The sequence below is a fragment of the Homo sapiens genome, chromosome 18, assembly GCF_000001405.40.
Source record: "Homo sapiens chromosome 18, GRCh38.p14 Primary Assembly".
Lineage (NCBI taxonomy): Eukaryota > Metazoa > Chordata > Mammalia > Primates > Hominidae > Homo > Homo sapiens.
This window is the reverse complement of record NC_000018.10, coordinates 55,241,776-55,257,490: the sequence shown is the minus strand read 5'-3', so window position 1 is coordinate 55,257,490 and position 15,715 is coordinate 55,241,776. Positions and strand designations below refer to the sequence as shown.

Here is a 15,715-nt window from a genome sequence, read left to right as displayed (position 1 = left end):
ATCATTGCCATTGCCATTTCCAAAAGGACTGTTTAAAATATTGGCAAGCGTCTTTTTACATGTGTCTAGATCTGATTGTAATTCCCACTTTAATATCAGCAGGCACAGCTGTTTGGTCTAGAAATGGAGGACAGGCCTCATCGTCTCCTAATTATGAAGGACCCTTACACTCTTTGGTATGTCTCATTTGCTAATCTCTGTCCCACCCATTTTCAGGTCATGTTCTTTCTTGTTCAGTCTCCTTTACTCTCCAAGATTTTGATTTTCCCTGTTAGTAACTTTAAGTCAGCATTAAGCACACAGGTTTGCGGGAGCCAGAGTCATTAGCCTATGCTTGCTCCTATTTGGAGATGGGAACCCAGATACTACTGTAATGGCAGCCCCAGGGCTCTAAATATCTAGTAGCAGATAAAATCCTGGAAGGGCAATGGCCTTCTCCCCATCTCTAGGAAAGATCCCTGTCAATGATTAAATCACTTTCCTGCTATCAGAGTGCTGGAACTCCAGCCAGGTCCTATACCTGGAACATTTGATTCCCTCTACCTCTGCTTTACTTTCCAGAATAACAGGTTTACAGGAGCTTTCCTTCTCGTAGAAACCCAGTGGTATCCTTCGTGGTAGAGAAATGCCTACTCTTCCAGGAGTGAATTGCTGAAAATTTCCATGGATGTAGTTAATTATTATAAATACTCACATGATGATTCAGTGTCTGACACTTCAGTCTTTCTCTCCTCATGATGGTGGGGGCCAGAAATATGCAGGAAACAATGCTGGTTGTGCAGCATTTAGGCTGTACATGAATTTAGCGGGAAGGAATAGCAGTAAGGGAGAGGAGCCTTTTAGTTCCTCGGGGTTGAGGTTTTCTTTTCTCCCTCCTATCTTGAGATGACACATGGAAGAAGACATAGATTTATCTATCTGCTTTAGTGTTGTCTTATATTCTTCCCTTTCAGCTTAATCTTAAGGAAAATCTGAAAAGAAAAGCAAAGGTGGATTTCCCTCCTTTGCTGTGTTCTTCCTTGCTATAGTGTATGAATCATTCAGCTATGCATTTTAACCAGTAAAGGAAACCAGACAGTGAAACATATATGCACTACCCAGCCCAATTAATCTGCGGACCACATCCACATAATTAGTTGTTTTAGTGTTTACCTTCATCAGTTATTCTCTGGGGCCTATTCATCAAAACCAGGCTTCGTCCAACTATAGAACTGTAAAGACGGGGTGTATAGTTATGGGCCACAGCTTCCATTCTGTTTGAATTCTGAACACTGAAGAAGAGATTTACAAGCAGAAACTGCTGTCTCTACCAGGAAGCTGTGAGCCAGAAACTGTGATAGGCACATGTATGATTTCTTTTCCTGCATACATTTACACTCAGAAGTAAGTATGTATTATCATTCCCATATTTATAAATTAGAAAGCATGCACTCCAAGAGGTTTAGTAACTTTTCCAAGGCCAAATACGTAGCAAAGCTAGCAGTCTAGGGGAGGTAGTTTAACTCCCAAACCCACCAAATCAGAATGTTCTGTACCATAGACTACTATATTAGACACACATTCTTCCTGTCAGTATAAAATAGAAATGTTTTTTCTCATGCAATAGAGCTGGTACACTTGTTTGCACAGCCGATTCAAAATCAAAGTCAATTGTAGCATGATCTAGTGCAAAGAGTCACTAGATTTAAAATAAAAAGACCTAGATTCCAACTCTGACTTTACCATTTCCTAGCAGTGTGACACTACGTAACTAATTCACTTTGTGTCTTTGAGCCTCATTTTCATGTCTGTACGGAAGGAATCATAATGTCTTCCCTGCCTGCCCATACACACGTGAAACAAGGATCAATGAGATGGTATATTTTAAAGTGTACACTGGAGAGTGGTATTTGATATCATTATTGATCAGTTTTTAAAATGAATACATACCTTTAAAATGAATACATACATTTTCTTCACTAAAAACTATACGCATTGTCTAGTTGTGAAAAACTAGAATCCTAATGGCAAGGATGAACAAAGGTTGGTTGGTTTTTAATGGTTTAAAGTTGCGAATTCTATGCTATAGTTGGGGCTTTGAACTCAGTTAGATGCCCCCAGTGAACAGTTGATTCAAGTGTTTGTGATTCTTCAGTCTTAAAATCTTATACTACTTTAGTTGACAGAATTTATATAATTTTTTTCTGTAACCATTTTGAGGCCCTTACACGCATACCACCACACACCCACTGGTTTTGATGACAGGAAGCCAGAAACACCGGTAAAAACTCAACAAGAAATTATCATCCATTTGCTTTTCCCTGTCTCTGATTTGGTACTTAGCACTGGGTCATATACCACAGGGAAGACCAAAGAAATATACCTTCAGGAAAAGAATTTAATTAAGAAACTATAAATAGGTCATCTTTCCAGTGGTAATTGTTTAAAACTCTTTAACTTAATACCTGCCAGAAAGTTCCTTAAATTCAGTGAATGTTTTTCTCTTCTAAAATAAATTTAAATTGCCTTTCAAAAGGCAGTACCGTATATAGCACATGTATGTTATAATGTCCTGGAATAATTATTGAATTTAGTTTGTTCATGAAAAATAACACTATAATTTTAACATTAACACGTTCTACCAGTTTTCTGGAAACAACACTATTTGTATTATTGTTTTAAGGAAATACATTTTATTGGAAACATGTATTTAGAAACACAGTGTGTTTTTTGTCGACTAAAATTTTACTTGTATAATTTAGGCACCCCTTTTGAACTAAATCAAATTTTACATCATTTGTTAACCAACAGCAAAGCCGAATTGAAGATCGTTTAGAAAGACTGGATGATGCTATTCATGTTCTCCGGAACCATGCAGTGGGCCCATCCACAGCTATGCCTGGTGGTCATGGGGACATGCATGGAATCATTGGACCTTCTCATAATGGAGCCATGGGTGGTCTGGGCTCAGGGTATGGAACCGGCCTTCTTTCAGCCAACAGACATTCACTCATGGTAAGTGATGAAATTTATAGACTCTATAGTTATCATATAGAGTTAGAATTTCAGATATAGATACTATTGTTGCTGTTTTTTAAAAAATCAGCTTTATTGAGATATAATTCACTTAACATACGATGAGCCCATTTCAGGTGTACAATTCAAGTGTTTTAGTGTATTTACAAGGTTGTGCAACCATCACCATAGTCTAGGTTTTGAATATTTTTGCCCCCTGCAAAAAGAAAAGAATCCCCGTTGCCCATTAAGCAGTCATTCCCCATCCCTCCACTTCCAGCCCTTGGCAACCACTTGTCTACTTCCTATGTCTATAGATTTACCTATTCTGGATATTTTGAATATATGGAATCATACAACATGTGGTGGTCTTTTTTGACTGGCATCTTTTACTTAGCATGACTGTTGCAGTTTTTCTACAGTTTGCCACGTATTAGAGCTTTATTCATTTTTATTGTCAAATAGTATTTCACTGTATGGACATACCACATTACACAGTTGGGTTGTTCCAACTCCTTGGCTATGATGAATAATGCTTCTATAAATATTCATGTTTAAGTTTTTGTGCAGACACATGTTTCCCTTGAGGATGAATTGCTGGGTCATTGTTGGTGTTTGAAATTATTCATTTTGGTGACCCTGGCCAAAGTGTACAATTTGAGTTCATATTATAATATGACATTGCTAGTAATTCAAATATTAGTGTTTTTTTTTTAATTAAAGAAGCCAAAATAGTGTCTGTCAATTCTGAGTCTGGGAGATAGAAATATATGGTATGTTTATTTGTATAAATACATTGCATGTGACTGTGTAATTTAATAGAGTAGCTTTACTACTACCTATTTAGAATAAGTCTTTATTTGAATTATATTTAAGCAGATTTGTCCATATTACAATTGTGATTTTTTTCCTCATTACTTTTGAAAGGATTTTGGAGATAATTCTTTTTGAGGATGATTATGAAGATTCAGAGACTCTTCTTAATAGAATATTAAGTGATGACAATTAATGAGGTGACCAGAGTGGTGGAGAATGTAACTTGACCAGTGATTCTCTGTAGTTCTGATCCTCACAAGCTCTACCTCGTCTCTAAGCACCTTAGTGTCCTATTTTGCCCCTTACAGGCTCGCTAAAAGTTGCTTGGATGAAGGTATATTTTCCATTATCACTGTAGCATTTCTCGTTTAAGCATGGTCCCAAAAGGAAATGCAAAATACATACAAATTATTATGAGGTTCTTTTAAGTTCTTGCTCAGTAGTATTCTCCTGTCCATCTTTCAGTTTCTCTTAATAAAAGTCTAAGATTAAGAGTACCATTCTGAACGGTGTAGTATTGAAATCTGCAACCAATTTGAAACCAAAAATACTGGTTTATAAATAGAAGCAACGAACTCACATCTAAAATGTGGAAAGATATTTTTGAATGCCAAAGAGAAATCTTTTTTTCTTTCCCTTGACCTCTGCCCTAAAAATTCATCATTGAATAAAAATTGTTTATATGTTCATGGCAGTTGCTTAGAGTTTACAAAAGAAAAGTCTAGATTTTAATTTAGCTTGGCCTCAGGTAATGTGTTAAATACACTTGGGATGCATATAATATGAGATTTTCGTTTGTACAGCTCTTTTTTTTCTAACTACAATGTTTAAACATACTGCTTTTAATTAAGAAATCTGGCTTTATTAAAAGCCAGATCTGTGACTTATAACCATTTCTGTATATCTGCTCTCAATCAACAGAAAAATAGTTTAATTTCTGTAGCTGTGTTCATTTTGCATATGTTAAACGGATGTAACATGCACCCAGGGCATTGCTTCAGAGACTATTTTTTCCATAAATATGTAAAGTTTTTCTTAAATACCATATGTAGGTTAAGTGGTTCTTTTAAATATTAAACTATACATAAATACTTTTGGGGACTATTTGACCTTTGAATTGACTCCTTTTTGAGTCAGATTCAGAGGTGGGATGGGAGGAAAAGACTAGAATTATTTTTGGAGATGGGAAGTTGGACTGACCTCAGTAGAACCGAAAGTGAGACGACTGAATAGAACGGTAGAAAAAAGGAAATAATTAGCCAATATTACATAGAAACCCCTTTAATTTGATCTTGATATACACACACACACACACACACACAAAAGCAATAAAGCCGCCAGTTTTGCTGATAAGGATAAGTTCCTGTTTTCTCCTCTGAAGACATTTAATATTCAATCAAGGACAGCCACAGAGCCAAGCAGATCATAGCGTAACTCCAAAGATATGGCATGTCATCACCCTGCTGCCCTTTGAACCAAATGGGGTTTTGCAGTCTCTCTCCTTTCTTCCTGAAAACCATTCAACGTGTCCCCAGAATCTGAGCTCCTCAGCCTGAAACACTAATGTGTGTGAAAAGGATTGGTTTGGCCTATCTTTCCCGTGCAAACTGGTATGAATTTTAAAACAAAAACATAAGAACAAAGGAAATAGTTTTTGAATTTAATCAGTCTGAAGTTAGCCTTTGACCATTTGATACATTCCACAATAAAAAGGAAGTTTAAGGGGAAGGCAAAAAAAAAAAAAAAAAAACCTCATCCCCCTTCCCCACAACAACAAAAAAATTCAAGGAGGATACTGGTAATGTTTTCCACATTTGAATTTTAATACATGAAACAGGCTATAAAACTTTGGCCAGCTGCAGTAAATAAAGTAGCCGTGGGAGGTATGCACCGGAAACTTCAGCAGAGAGCACTGGTGAGAGTCTCATTCCCAACTACACACCTTCGTTTGTTGTTCTGGGCGGAAGCGAGTTGCAGTAACTTGATACTCATCCCAGTCCCGGTTTTGTATTGAGCACATCGCCTTTCTAACTCTCCTCAGTAATTCCTTCTGATTAAAGAGTAGACAGCTCTGAATCCTCTCGACCTCCGTACGCTTCTCATTTCCTTTCTCCCTGCCTTCCAAAAATCAAAACAAAATGGCTTGATAACTTGGAAGGTGATATAAGCATTTCTTTCTGCAGCAGCTTGAAGTTGTGGTGGGGAAAACTGTGGTTCTGCCTCGGCTGTTATGTTATCTCATTTAATTGCTAACATATTGTCCTTAGCTTTTGATTCATAAAATGTTTTCCTTGGAGTTCTGAAGTAGGTCTTCAGTGATTTACTAAGTATTAGTATAATGAAAGGGATTTTTTTTTTTCACAGCGGCATGGCTCATAACACAAGAGCGAATGTTTGTATACTTGCAAGCTCTCTGGATGATATTATTGAGCTATGCTTATTTCCTGCTCAAAAACCTTCCCTGCCTTTCCATTTTCTACAAGATAAAGACCAATTCCTTAGCTCAGCATTTGAAGCCTATTACCATTTACCGAAAGCCTTATGTTGAGCTCTTCCAATCTGCAACAAGTCTTCCAGCAAGACAAGGCTGGGCATATTACCAGAATTCACCCTGTATGTTCTCCTTCGGAACTTTTGTATCTCTTTGTCTTGTCCAGCCCTATCTGCTTATCTCTGTACACCTAATACCCACCCATTCTCAAAGCACTGACTCAAATCATTCTTCTTCCAGGAAGCCTTCCCTTGCTACCCCACTCATGCTAGCCATTTTTTTCTCTATTCTTACAGCCCTATGAATCATACCATTTCTAGATATTTATCTTAACCAGCTCCGCATAGCTGTGCATCTTTTATAGATATGACTCTGCCTTACCAACTGTTGTAAATTCCTCGAGTCTCACATATTATATTTTGTCTCTCTCCCCCCGACCCCTGTAAATAGATCATCCATAGAAACGGGAGAAAAGAAACGAGGAAACTTAACATTCTGTGAGTGTGAGTTGGCAGCCCCTCTGCTAGGCGCTCTGCATGTGTTGTCTTAGGCAGTCTTCACAACAGCCCAGTGAGGATGATAATAGTGGTCATTTCAGGTGTCGGTAAAGTGAGCCTTAGAAGTTTGAGCAGTTAGTCTCAAGTCCTGCAGCGGGATTTAAACTCAAGCACATCAACTCCAAATTCAATGCTCTTTTTTACTACCAGGCATACTCTCCAGAGATTATCTATGAGAACACCTTTTCAGAACTTATTTTAAATGCTAGGAGCTTGTGATTTTCAAAACTTGATAAGTGTTGGTTGGCAAAAGAAGTTTCCAGGTATTCCATGGCTGGGTTCCCAGAGCAGCTCTCTTCCCAAATGTATAGACAGAGAACTTTCCCTCCAAAGTGGTGGCATGCTTGGATTAAAACCCACATTATCTATGCACTTATTCTTAAACCAACATGTTTGCGCTGAGTGCCTAAGAGGTGTGAACTCTCCCTACCAGGGTCCTTGAGGTAGCAAATTTTAAGTTATCAAGTTATTTTTCTTACTATAACCACCCACTTTTCTTCCAAAATTAAAGCAGAAATCTCTGAATGTGGGAGAATAAGGAAATAGCCAGGTCTTCACTACCCTAGTTAGAAACTCTTACCAAGTATGATTCCCTCTCTGCCTCAGAGACCTCCATGATTAATCCTGATATTAAATGATTAGATTTCTTATAAATTATGGAAAGGGCAATTTTCCAGATAGAATTCTCTCTGTTACTCATTCAGTATTCACATCCACAGATGAGGCCTGAAAAGAAGCGTTTCAAATGACCTAACCGCTTTTTTAACTGACTAAGAACAAAACCCACATCAAACTTGTCTTTATGTGACTCTATGTGTTCCCGTTTATTTGTTGGTAGAGTCAGCAACTACGTGATCATTGAGCTAAAAATCCCCTCTACTATTCATATATCGCATTAGTGTAGCTCTCAGATCCTTCTTGTTTAAAGTCTATTTATTCATTTCAATAACATTTATCCGTGGTTACCAAGTGTAGGTTCTGTGCTCTCAAGGAATTCACAGGCTAGTAGGAAAAGATGTGTACTTAAGCAGATTGCTCCCTGCCAGTCTGCTATGCCCTCTAAAAGACCAGGGGCCTGACCCTTATCCAGTAGTGAAAGATCACATGGTTGTTTAGTAGAGGAGTGGTCATCTCCAGTTGACTTAGGGATGGGGGAGTCATGTGCAACTCACCCCACACACCTGTCCTCCACAGCATCCCTTCAGAGTCCTGCAGGTGGGGGATGTGGAACCCATTTCAGAAATCACCAATAAAAGTGGATCTTTGCCCAGTTTTCCTCTTTTCAGTAACAATTTTTGTTTTACTTTGGATTAAATGCAGTCTATCAAAAGAGCATTCCTTAGGAAAAGTGGTATCTTTTTATTTAACTGACATTATATACATGAGAACTTTTACCTCTTAGGGCTTCATAGGACAAACAACTTCAGTTAGTTTTCCTTGTATAGTTAAGAGCTCAGACCACTGAATTTTAGATTCTAAAAGTACCCTGGAAATCAGCCCATTGCCCTTCTTTGAAGACTAAGGCCTAGGAAGGGGAAGTGACCAAACCATGGGTACTCACTAGTAGAATTAGAAACCAGACAAAAGAGGCTGGACACGGTGGCTCACCCCTGTAATCCCAGCAATTTAGGAGGCCGAGGCGGGTGGATCACTCGAGGTCAGGAGTTCGAGGCCAGCCTGGCCAACATGGTGAAACCCTGTCTCTACCAAAAATACAAAAATTAGCCGGGCATGGTGGTGCACACCTGTAATCCCAGCTACTCAGGAGGCTGAGGCAGGAGAATTGCTTGAACTCTGGAGGCACAGGTTGCAGTGAGCCAAGATTGTGCCACTGCACTCCAGCCTGGGTGACAGAGAGACCCTGCCACACACACAAAAAAGGAAACCAGACAAAACAGCAAGCAGACCAGCACTCCTTGTGCTATATCCTACACTGCTCAGCCGACTTCCTCTTTACCCTAATACCATAACCATTTCAAAACTGTGAGTGGTAGAAATTAGAAACCATTCTGTTACTCTGACTTAACTAATGAAATCCAAGAAAACTCTGTAGTTGGCCCTAGGCTGCCTGCAATGAGTTGCTATTTAGCTCTACCAGTAATATTTGGCAAAAAGAGAGGGTAGTGGGCATTGATGTGATGTGGCAGTTATTGGTACATAGTCATGGGAGCAGCAGGAGTCAGAAGATTCTGTTTCTATGTGGGCCTCTTCAACAAAGATATGATCAACAGAGGCATCAGCATCTTCAGTTGATAAAGTTGATAAAATAGAAAACTATTTTCTAAATAGCCTGTTACAGAATTTCAGCGAAGCTATTGGTGGTCAGCATCATCTTTTAATAGCTACTATCTTGTTTTTCTTTAAATTAGGATATTTGCCTTCTCTAGTGTTCTGTCATCTCTCCTAATCTCCACAACTATCAGGTATTTCGGAGAGCAGATTAGTAACCTCAACTGAAAGTTTTGATCTTTATCAATTTATCAGTTGCTCCTCTTGGGCTTTCACAGGTTTTGATTCCATAAAGTTCTGTGTCTATTTGAGTGCATACTTCATTTCTAAGCAGTTATTCCCATGGACTCTCAGGGAATTTAAGAGATTATCTCTACTGAAATCTCCCTACAGATTTCCTGCCAAGCAGTCAACAAGTCTTGATCAGCCTCCTTCCTTCAAGGGTGACTAGCTCCAAATGCCCACAAAGTCCATTTTCATCAAATATTTGAAAGTTCTTCCTAGGTCCAGCCCAAATTTGCTTTTTTCTACAGTCCTTATGTTTCTGCCCAATAGAATTGCCCACAAATCAAGTCCAACAAGCACTTGAGAAACTCAGTTATTTGAAGACAGTCTGCTGAGTGTTTTTTCCCTCTAGACGAAACATCACTATCTTCAAATATTTAACCTGAAAAAAAGTTTGGACTCCCTGTCATGAACTCCATTGCTTCCCAGTGCATTCTCCCTAGTTTAGCAAGGATGCCTTTTTCTCCACAAGAACCTTTTAGTGTGTGGAACCGCAAACTGAACACAGTGCTTAAGAAAGGATCAAGTGGACTAGGGTGGATCTATCTCCTCCCCCATTCAGTACCTTGTATCTTCATTAAGGCCACCTAACAATATCCTGTTTTGCTATGTTTGATGCTTTCATTGTCCTGCTGACATATATTCAATTTGTAATCAACTGAAATCCATAAGCCACCTATCTCCCCAGTCTCATTGTGTACTTTTTGTTGTGTCTGTACAAAACTTCATGAAACCCCATTGAATGTTATGTTGTAGCCTCAGTCTGATTCCTGTTTAATGGTTTCCCTGAAGCCCTCATTCAGTCACATACTCTGCCATCTCTGTTGCTGGCAAATGTGATGGGTGTGACTAATGCCCACATCAAAGCCACCAATACAATATTTTCAGGGGAGGGGATTGACCAGAAGGCCATGAGGCTCAGTGTTACAGACATTCTTTCTACACGAGTGCTGTCTTCTATCCTTTGAGTTTAATCTCAGCTGGTTCTGTCTCCCTCCTTATACACCGTATGGCCCACCTTTGCTCATTTTGTCCGTAGCGTTGTCACAGAAGCCGGGCATGCAGCACTCACTGTGAAGCAGGAAATGAGGCTTGTCCAGAATGCCTTGCTCTGGTGGAACCAAACTGAGTTTGAGAGGCCATTCCTGTGTTTCAGAGCACTTTCAAAACTATTTTCTAAATACCCTGTTACAGAATTTCACCCAAGCTATTGGTGGTCAACATCATCTTTCAATAGCTACTATCTTGTTTTTCTTTAAATTAGGATATTTGCCTTCTCTAGTGTTCTGTCATCTCTCCTAATCTCCACAACTATCAAGTATTTCGGAGAGCAGATTAGCAACCTCAACCGAAAGTTTTGAACTTTATCAATATCATACTTTATTTTTTTAAAACTGAAAAAAAAAAGGACAGAAAGGTAAAAGAACTTGAAGAAATTCTTTTAGCCATGGATGAGTGATAACAGCTGAGAATCCTTGAGCTTACCATTTGATATTTCTATATTAATTTAAAGAAAAGTCAAAAGATTTTGAAAACAGCAATAGAAGTAAGATCCTTTAAGCTCTATTCAGCAGCCCCTAAGAAAAGTGATGAGGACACTGTGCATGCCCATATGTGAACATGGTTGGCCACCTTAGGTATTTCCCCTTCTCTCCACATGAATACATATTTTACTCAAATTCAGACTCTATGATGTTGAAACAGTCTGGCATTGGATGTTTACCTCAAAACCCTGCTCTCTCTGCACCTAGGACAAACAAATCCTAGTTCTCTGGTGTTTAGCATCTTGGAGCCATGAATTTTAAATAAATCAAAGACAAAAACCTTGTCTTTCCCAGTTTTAAAATATAAAAGATACACACACACACACACACACACACACACACGTGTATTTAAAATAGACCCTATAACCTCATCATATTCTTACATCCTTACATGGTTTTCTTCTTAAATTGTGGAGGAAAAGGCAGGCAGACACATTTAATAGCACAGTGATCATCATTTTTTAAATGAACTGTTACAGGGACATAATCTTAAACTATCCATAATTTGGAATAGGCACAACTGTGCATTTAAAAAAATGCAATATTACCCTTATTTTCTCAGGAAAGCAGATTTTCTGGAGGGAAAAGTATATATTGTATATATTAGAAAATATACATATGTTCATTCACTCTTTCTGCATCTGCTGTGCTTCAGATGCTTTTGGGGATGCATAAACGTGTAAAAGAAAGTATCTGATCTTACAGGCCTTTTATCCTGGTAGAGTGATAATACAAATATGGGTCTAACTATAATGCAAGGTAGAATTATGAAATGACCTAAGGAGCAATTCAGACCGCTAGGAAAAGCTTCCCGGAGAAGATGCCATTGAGCTCATATTCGAGTCCACATAGAATTTCAACAATTAGAGACAGGATAGAAAAGGCGTTTCAGAGCCATATAATAAACATGATTTAAAACCAAAAACAGAAAATAAAGGCTCATGCACCTAAATGGAAGTAAGAAAACTGCCTGATGATACCAGTCCTTGCAGCTTGCCAGCCAGGGCTGCATTGGGTGAAAAGCCCCTCCACAGCACGGCAGCTCCAGCAGTTGGCTCGAATATTTCACATGAGAGTCCACAGGAAGAGCGAGCTTTCATGTATATTTTTTACATCCAAATTAAGTTAACTCATGGAATTTTCCACCCTTAGGAATTAAAGTAGCAACTCATGAAGTAATTCAGTTATGTCATTCATACCAAAACAGAAAATACTGGAGCAACTTGGCACTGTTTAAAAGCCAAGATTAGGCCTTGGCCATTTTATATTTTTTCACATTCCATGGCCGTTGTGTTATTTTAACTTTTATTATGGCTGTAAATTTTTCAAATCAAAAGTATCTTAATTGCTTAGAAAACAGAAGTTGAAAATGGGTTCATAGTAAGAAGAGGGTTTAGGCAAAGCAGCTTTAGGAGTGAGAACTGAAAAAAAGCTGTAGCATTACATTTTCTGTAATGCGAGGGTTCTACCTATTTGGTTGACATTCACAGTTGTGCATAATTATAGCTTCCTCTATATCCATAAATCATCTTAGAACTATAAAGTTGAGTTTAACCAAAAGATCTGTCCAATATTAGTGAAATGACATCTTTAGGGAAGCATTGTCCTGATACAATAGCCACATTCATTTTAAAGCAGTTAATTGGACACATTGTCAAAAACCACGGTATTGAGTTTCCACATTTTAATTTCACATTTGCCTTCTCCCTGGCTTCTGCACACGGACGGGTCTCTTTTGGAGCTGAAAGTGTGTGAAAGTTATTGGAGAATGGTAGTCTCTGGGTAATGTTTCTGTAAGCTGCCCAAAATTTTCCCCCTGTAGTCTAGATGGGAAACAGCTGGTATTTGTTTAAAAAGCTGTTTTGCAAAATGTCTAAACCTTGAGATATAGAACTGAGGTCACCATTAAAGCAGGTGCTTAAGAGCAAGTGAGAAAGACTTCAGAGGCCGACTGGCTCTGGAATCTTCTGCAGGGCACTTCCTATTAGAAGAAAAAGTGTTGAAGTTTGCTCCTTTATTTAGGACACGGCTATAAGTATTAATAAGTAAGTGCACTAGCAATACTACTAGAAATTGAGTATTTTTGAACATAGCCAGCCCTCAAGTGAATAATTAGCTCAGTATGAAAGGAACTAAAATGGTCATTTTTCTCACAGGGCTTCAAGATACAAGAGCCCAAGGCGCTCTAGTCTCCTTTGGGTGTTTGAATTTCCTCTTTAAACACACCAACAGTAAAAGAACTACTATTTCAAATAAGCAGTACCATAACTGACTATATCTTCCAAGGTTTTGGATGCAATCTAAGGGAAAGGGGGAAAAGAGACCCGACTTGGCAAGACCCGTACCGAAGCAGTCTGGAAAAAAAGCAAAGCAAAAAACATGTGGAACCACTAAAGGCCAGTGCACGTCAGGTATCCACCAGTCTGAAGATGAAAGGAAGTAAGCCTCCTCCCCTGGGAGCTGGAGGTTATTAGCAGCTGTTTATCCAGTCGGGAATAGAGATTAACATTGTACTTTTTTTTTAAGAACTAGAAGAAAATTTGTTTGGGAAGTTGGCTTTTCATATCAAGTCACTGTGCTTTGCCAAAAAAAACTTCCTTTCTCAGAACTCATGTACTAGCATTGAGCAATGTTATGATTCTCTGAGAAACTCTGAATTACCAAAAAGTCTTTCTCCATTAAATAGAACAGAAAAGGACAGAGAAATGGGTGAACGTTTGCCATTGACACATTGCAGTTGTACTCTTTACCATGTGAAATTTGCCGTTTGGTCTATTACCTGTTCTCCAACCTGACTCTAAATGGGACACTCTGCCCTCTACCCCTCACACGTACCCTCACAACTTAATCATTGCCACTCTAAGGTGCACACAATGGGTTCTGCAGATACCTACTGCTTGCAAAAAGACCTTTCATGAGATATTGGGGAAACTGCCTAGTACTCTGGGTGCTTTATTCTCAAAAAACAAACAAACAAACAAACAAAAAACGAGTTGGATATAGGTATTTTTCCCCTGATTTAATGCTACTCTTAATGTCATTTTCTTTTATTAAATCCTTTCTTCTGCTTTTGATCTTATTTATAGCAGAGCCACTGGTCATATGGAAACTATTACTGTATAGCTGCGAGATGAAAGACTTCATGGCAATTAAATAAGAGTGAATCATTTGGGCCAATAATACACACATACAGTGAGGTACCATTTGTGTCCAAAATGCCCTGTGTTGTTCACTTTGTAGCAAAGCCATTGAGCTTTACAAAGGGCTTTACAAAAATCTGCTTTTTGTCAGAAATATGTAGTCTGACAATATGAAAACACATGTTAACACACAGTCCTTAGCTGCTTGCTTCTTCACACATACACAGTATCTAAATCATGCCACTTATTGATATAAAATGAAATTTTCACTTAAATTTGGGATATTATTTAGTTGTGTTAAGCGTCAGCTCTTTAAAAATATATTTGGATAATCTATATCAAAATTCGACCCATCACTCAAAACCTGCCTAAAATGTCATGTTCTTCTTAAAGTAGTCCCTGGTTTCCTAAACGGGTATGACTTCATCATTTTTTAAAACCCTACATGACCTTGTACTCCTTTATGACATTCATCGTATTTTGCCTTGTATAGTAATATTATCCCATCATTAAAATATCAGTGCCTGGGCTAGGCGCGGTGGTTCAGGCCTGTAATCCCAGCACTTTGGGAAGCCAAGGCGGGAGGATCACAAGTTCAGGAGTTCGAGACCAGCCTAGCCAACATGGTGAAACCCCGTCTCTACTAAAAATACAAAAATTAGCTGGGCGTAAAGGTGCACGCCTGTAATCCCAGCTACTGGGGAGGCTGAGGCAGGAGAATCGCTTGAACCCGGGAGGCGGAGGTTGCAGTGAGCCAAGATCATGCCACTGCACTCCTTTCTGGGCAACAAAGCAACACTCCATCTTAAAAAAAAAAAAAAAAATCAGTGCCTGCAAAGTCATAGACGTGTTTATTTTTCCTTGCAAATGCCCATGTAGTGCCTTGCATATAGTACACTTTCATAAGGCGCTTGTCAAATTAAGTGAAATGTTTATTTGATAGAAACATGCTAAATGTATATTTGGCAATATCAAACAATTAAATTTCAGACATAGTCTCACAGATCCATAGCATTTGTGTCATCATTTGCTAAGCATCTAACTGCACATTGTACTATTACACTCCCGTGCAGTGACCTGTGCAGTTCCTGTCCTTGGGATGGGATGCCCACAAATGGAGACAAGTATAGGCTTTACGAATGGCAGCAAAACAAACTTATTGAAGTTTATGCCCTGCACCATTCAACAATGACCTTGAATGTGTTTTAAGGGTGGTGTCTGTAATGCATAGTGAGCTCGTGAGGTGACAAGAAAGTGGAGATTTCTGGAGATCCACTCAGCCCTGAAGGGTCAGAGAGTGAGGGGATCTGTGAGGCTAATAAAAGAGAAGCAGTTGGTGAGTTAGGAGGAAAAAACTAGCCCAGCAGACAGAGCAGGGAGGGCTTTGCTCAAGCCTTAGTGATGTGGGCGTTAACCCAGCAGATGAGAGGCCATGCGTAGGTAATTGAACATTGATAGTGAGGAATTTAAAAATAGGAGGGAACTGCATTGGTCCTGGGAGTCTAGGTGAAGGATGCATCAGCACAAGGTGGACCTCTTAGACTGGATCCATACAGCAAGCAAGAGCCAGGCTGAAGCCTTAATATTGCATCAACTGATGGAGAGAGAATATTGCATTTAAAAGATGAGTATTTGGAAAGTGATGGGGAAGAAATGGTT

The 15,715-nt window shown here is 38.8% G+C and overlaps 1 protein-coding gene across 46 annotated transcripts in view, besides 2 other annotated features; it reads left to right on the top strand.

The window, feature by feature from the left end:
- Nucleotides 1-15,715, top strand: part of TCF4 (transcription factor 4) — a 413,773-nt gene that overhangs the window by 378,467 nt on the left and 19,591 nt on the right. For 39 of the 46 annotated variants that reach the window (NM_001243226.3, NM_001369584.1, NM_001369576.1 and 36 more), the window contains 2 exons: nucleotides 100-176; nucleotides 2,791-2,994. In NM_001243226.3, the coding sequence (NP_001230155.2) occupies nucleotides 100-176; nucleotides 2,791-2,994 (281 nt within the window). The remainder of the gene's footprint in view (nucleotides 1-99; nucleotides 177-2,790; nucleotides 2,995-15,715) is intronic. The other 7 variants (NM_001369577.1, NM_001243230.2, NM_001369579.1 and 4 more) reach the window with 1 other exon arrangement.
- Nucleotides 7,769-7,828: an enhancer, noted in NCBI's record as "active region_13354". NCBI's record gives its function as "activates an Ori minimal core promoter by ATAC-STARR-seq in GM12878 lymphoblastoid cells {active_cell/tissue: GM12878}" and the evidence as "EXISTENCE:reporter gene assay evidence [ECO:0000049][PMID:35858748]".
- Nucleotides 7,839-7,888: an enhancer, noted in NCBI's record as "active region_13353". NCBI's record gives its function as "activates an Ori minimal core promoter by ATAC-STARR-seq in GM12878 lymphoblastoid cells {active_cell/tissue: GM12878}" and the evidence as "EXISTENCE:reporter gene assay evidence [ECO:0000049][PMID:35858748]".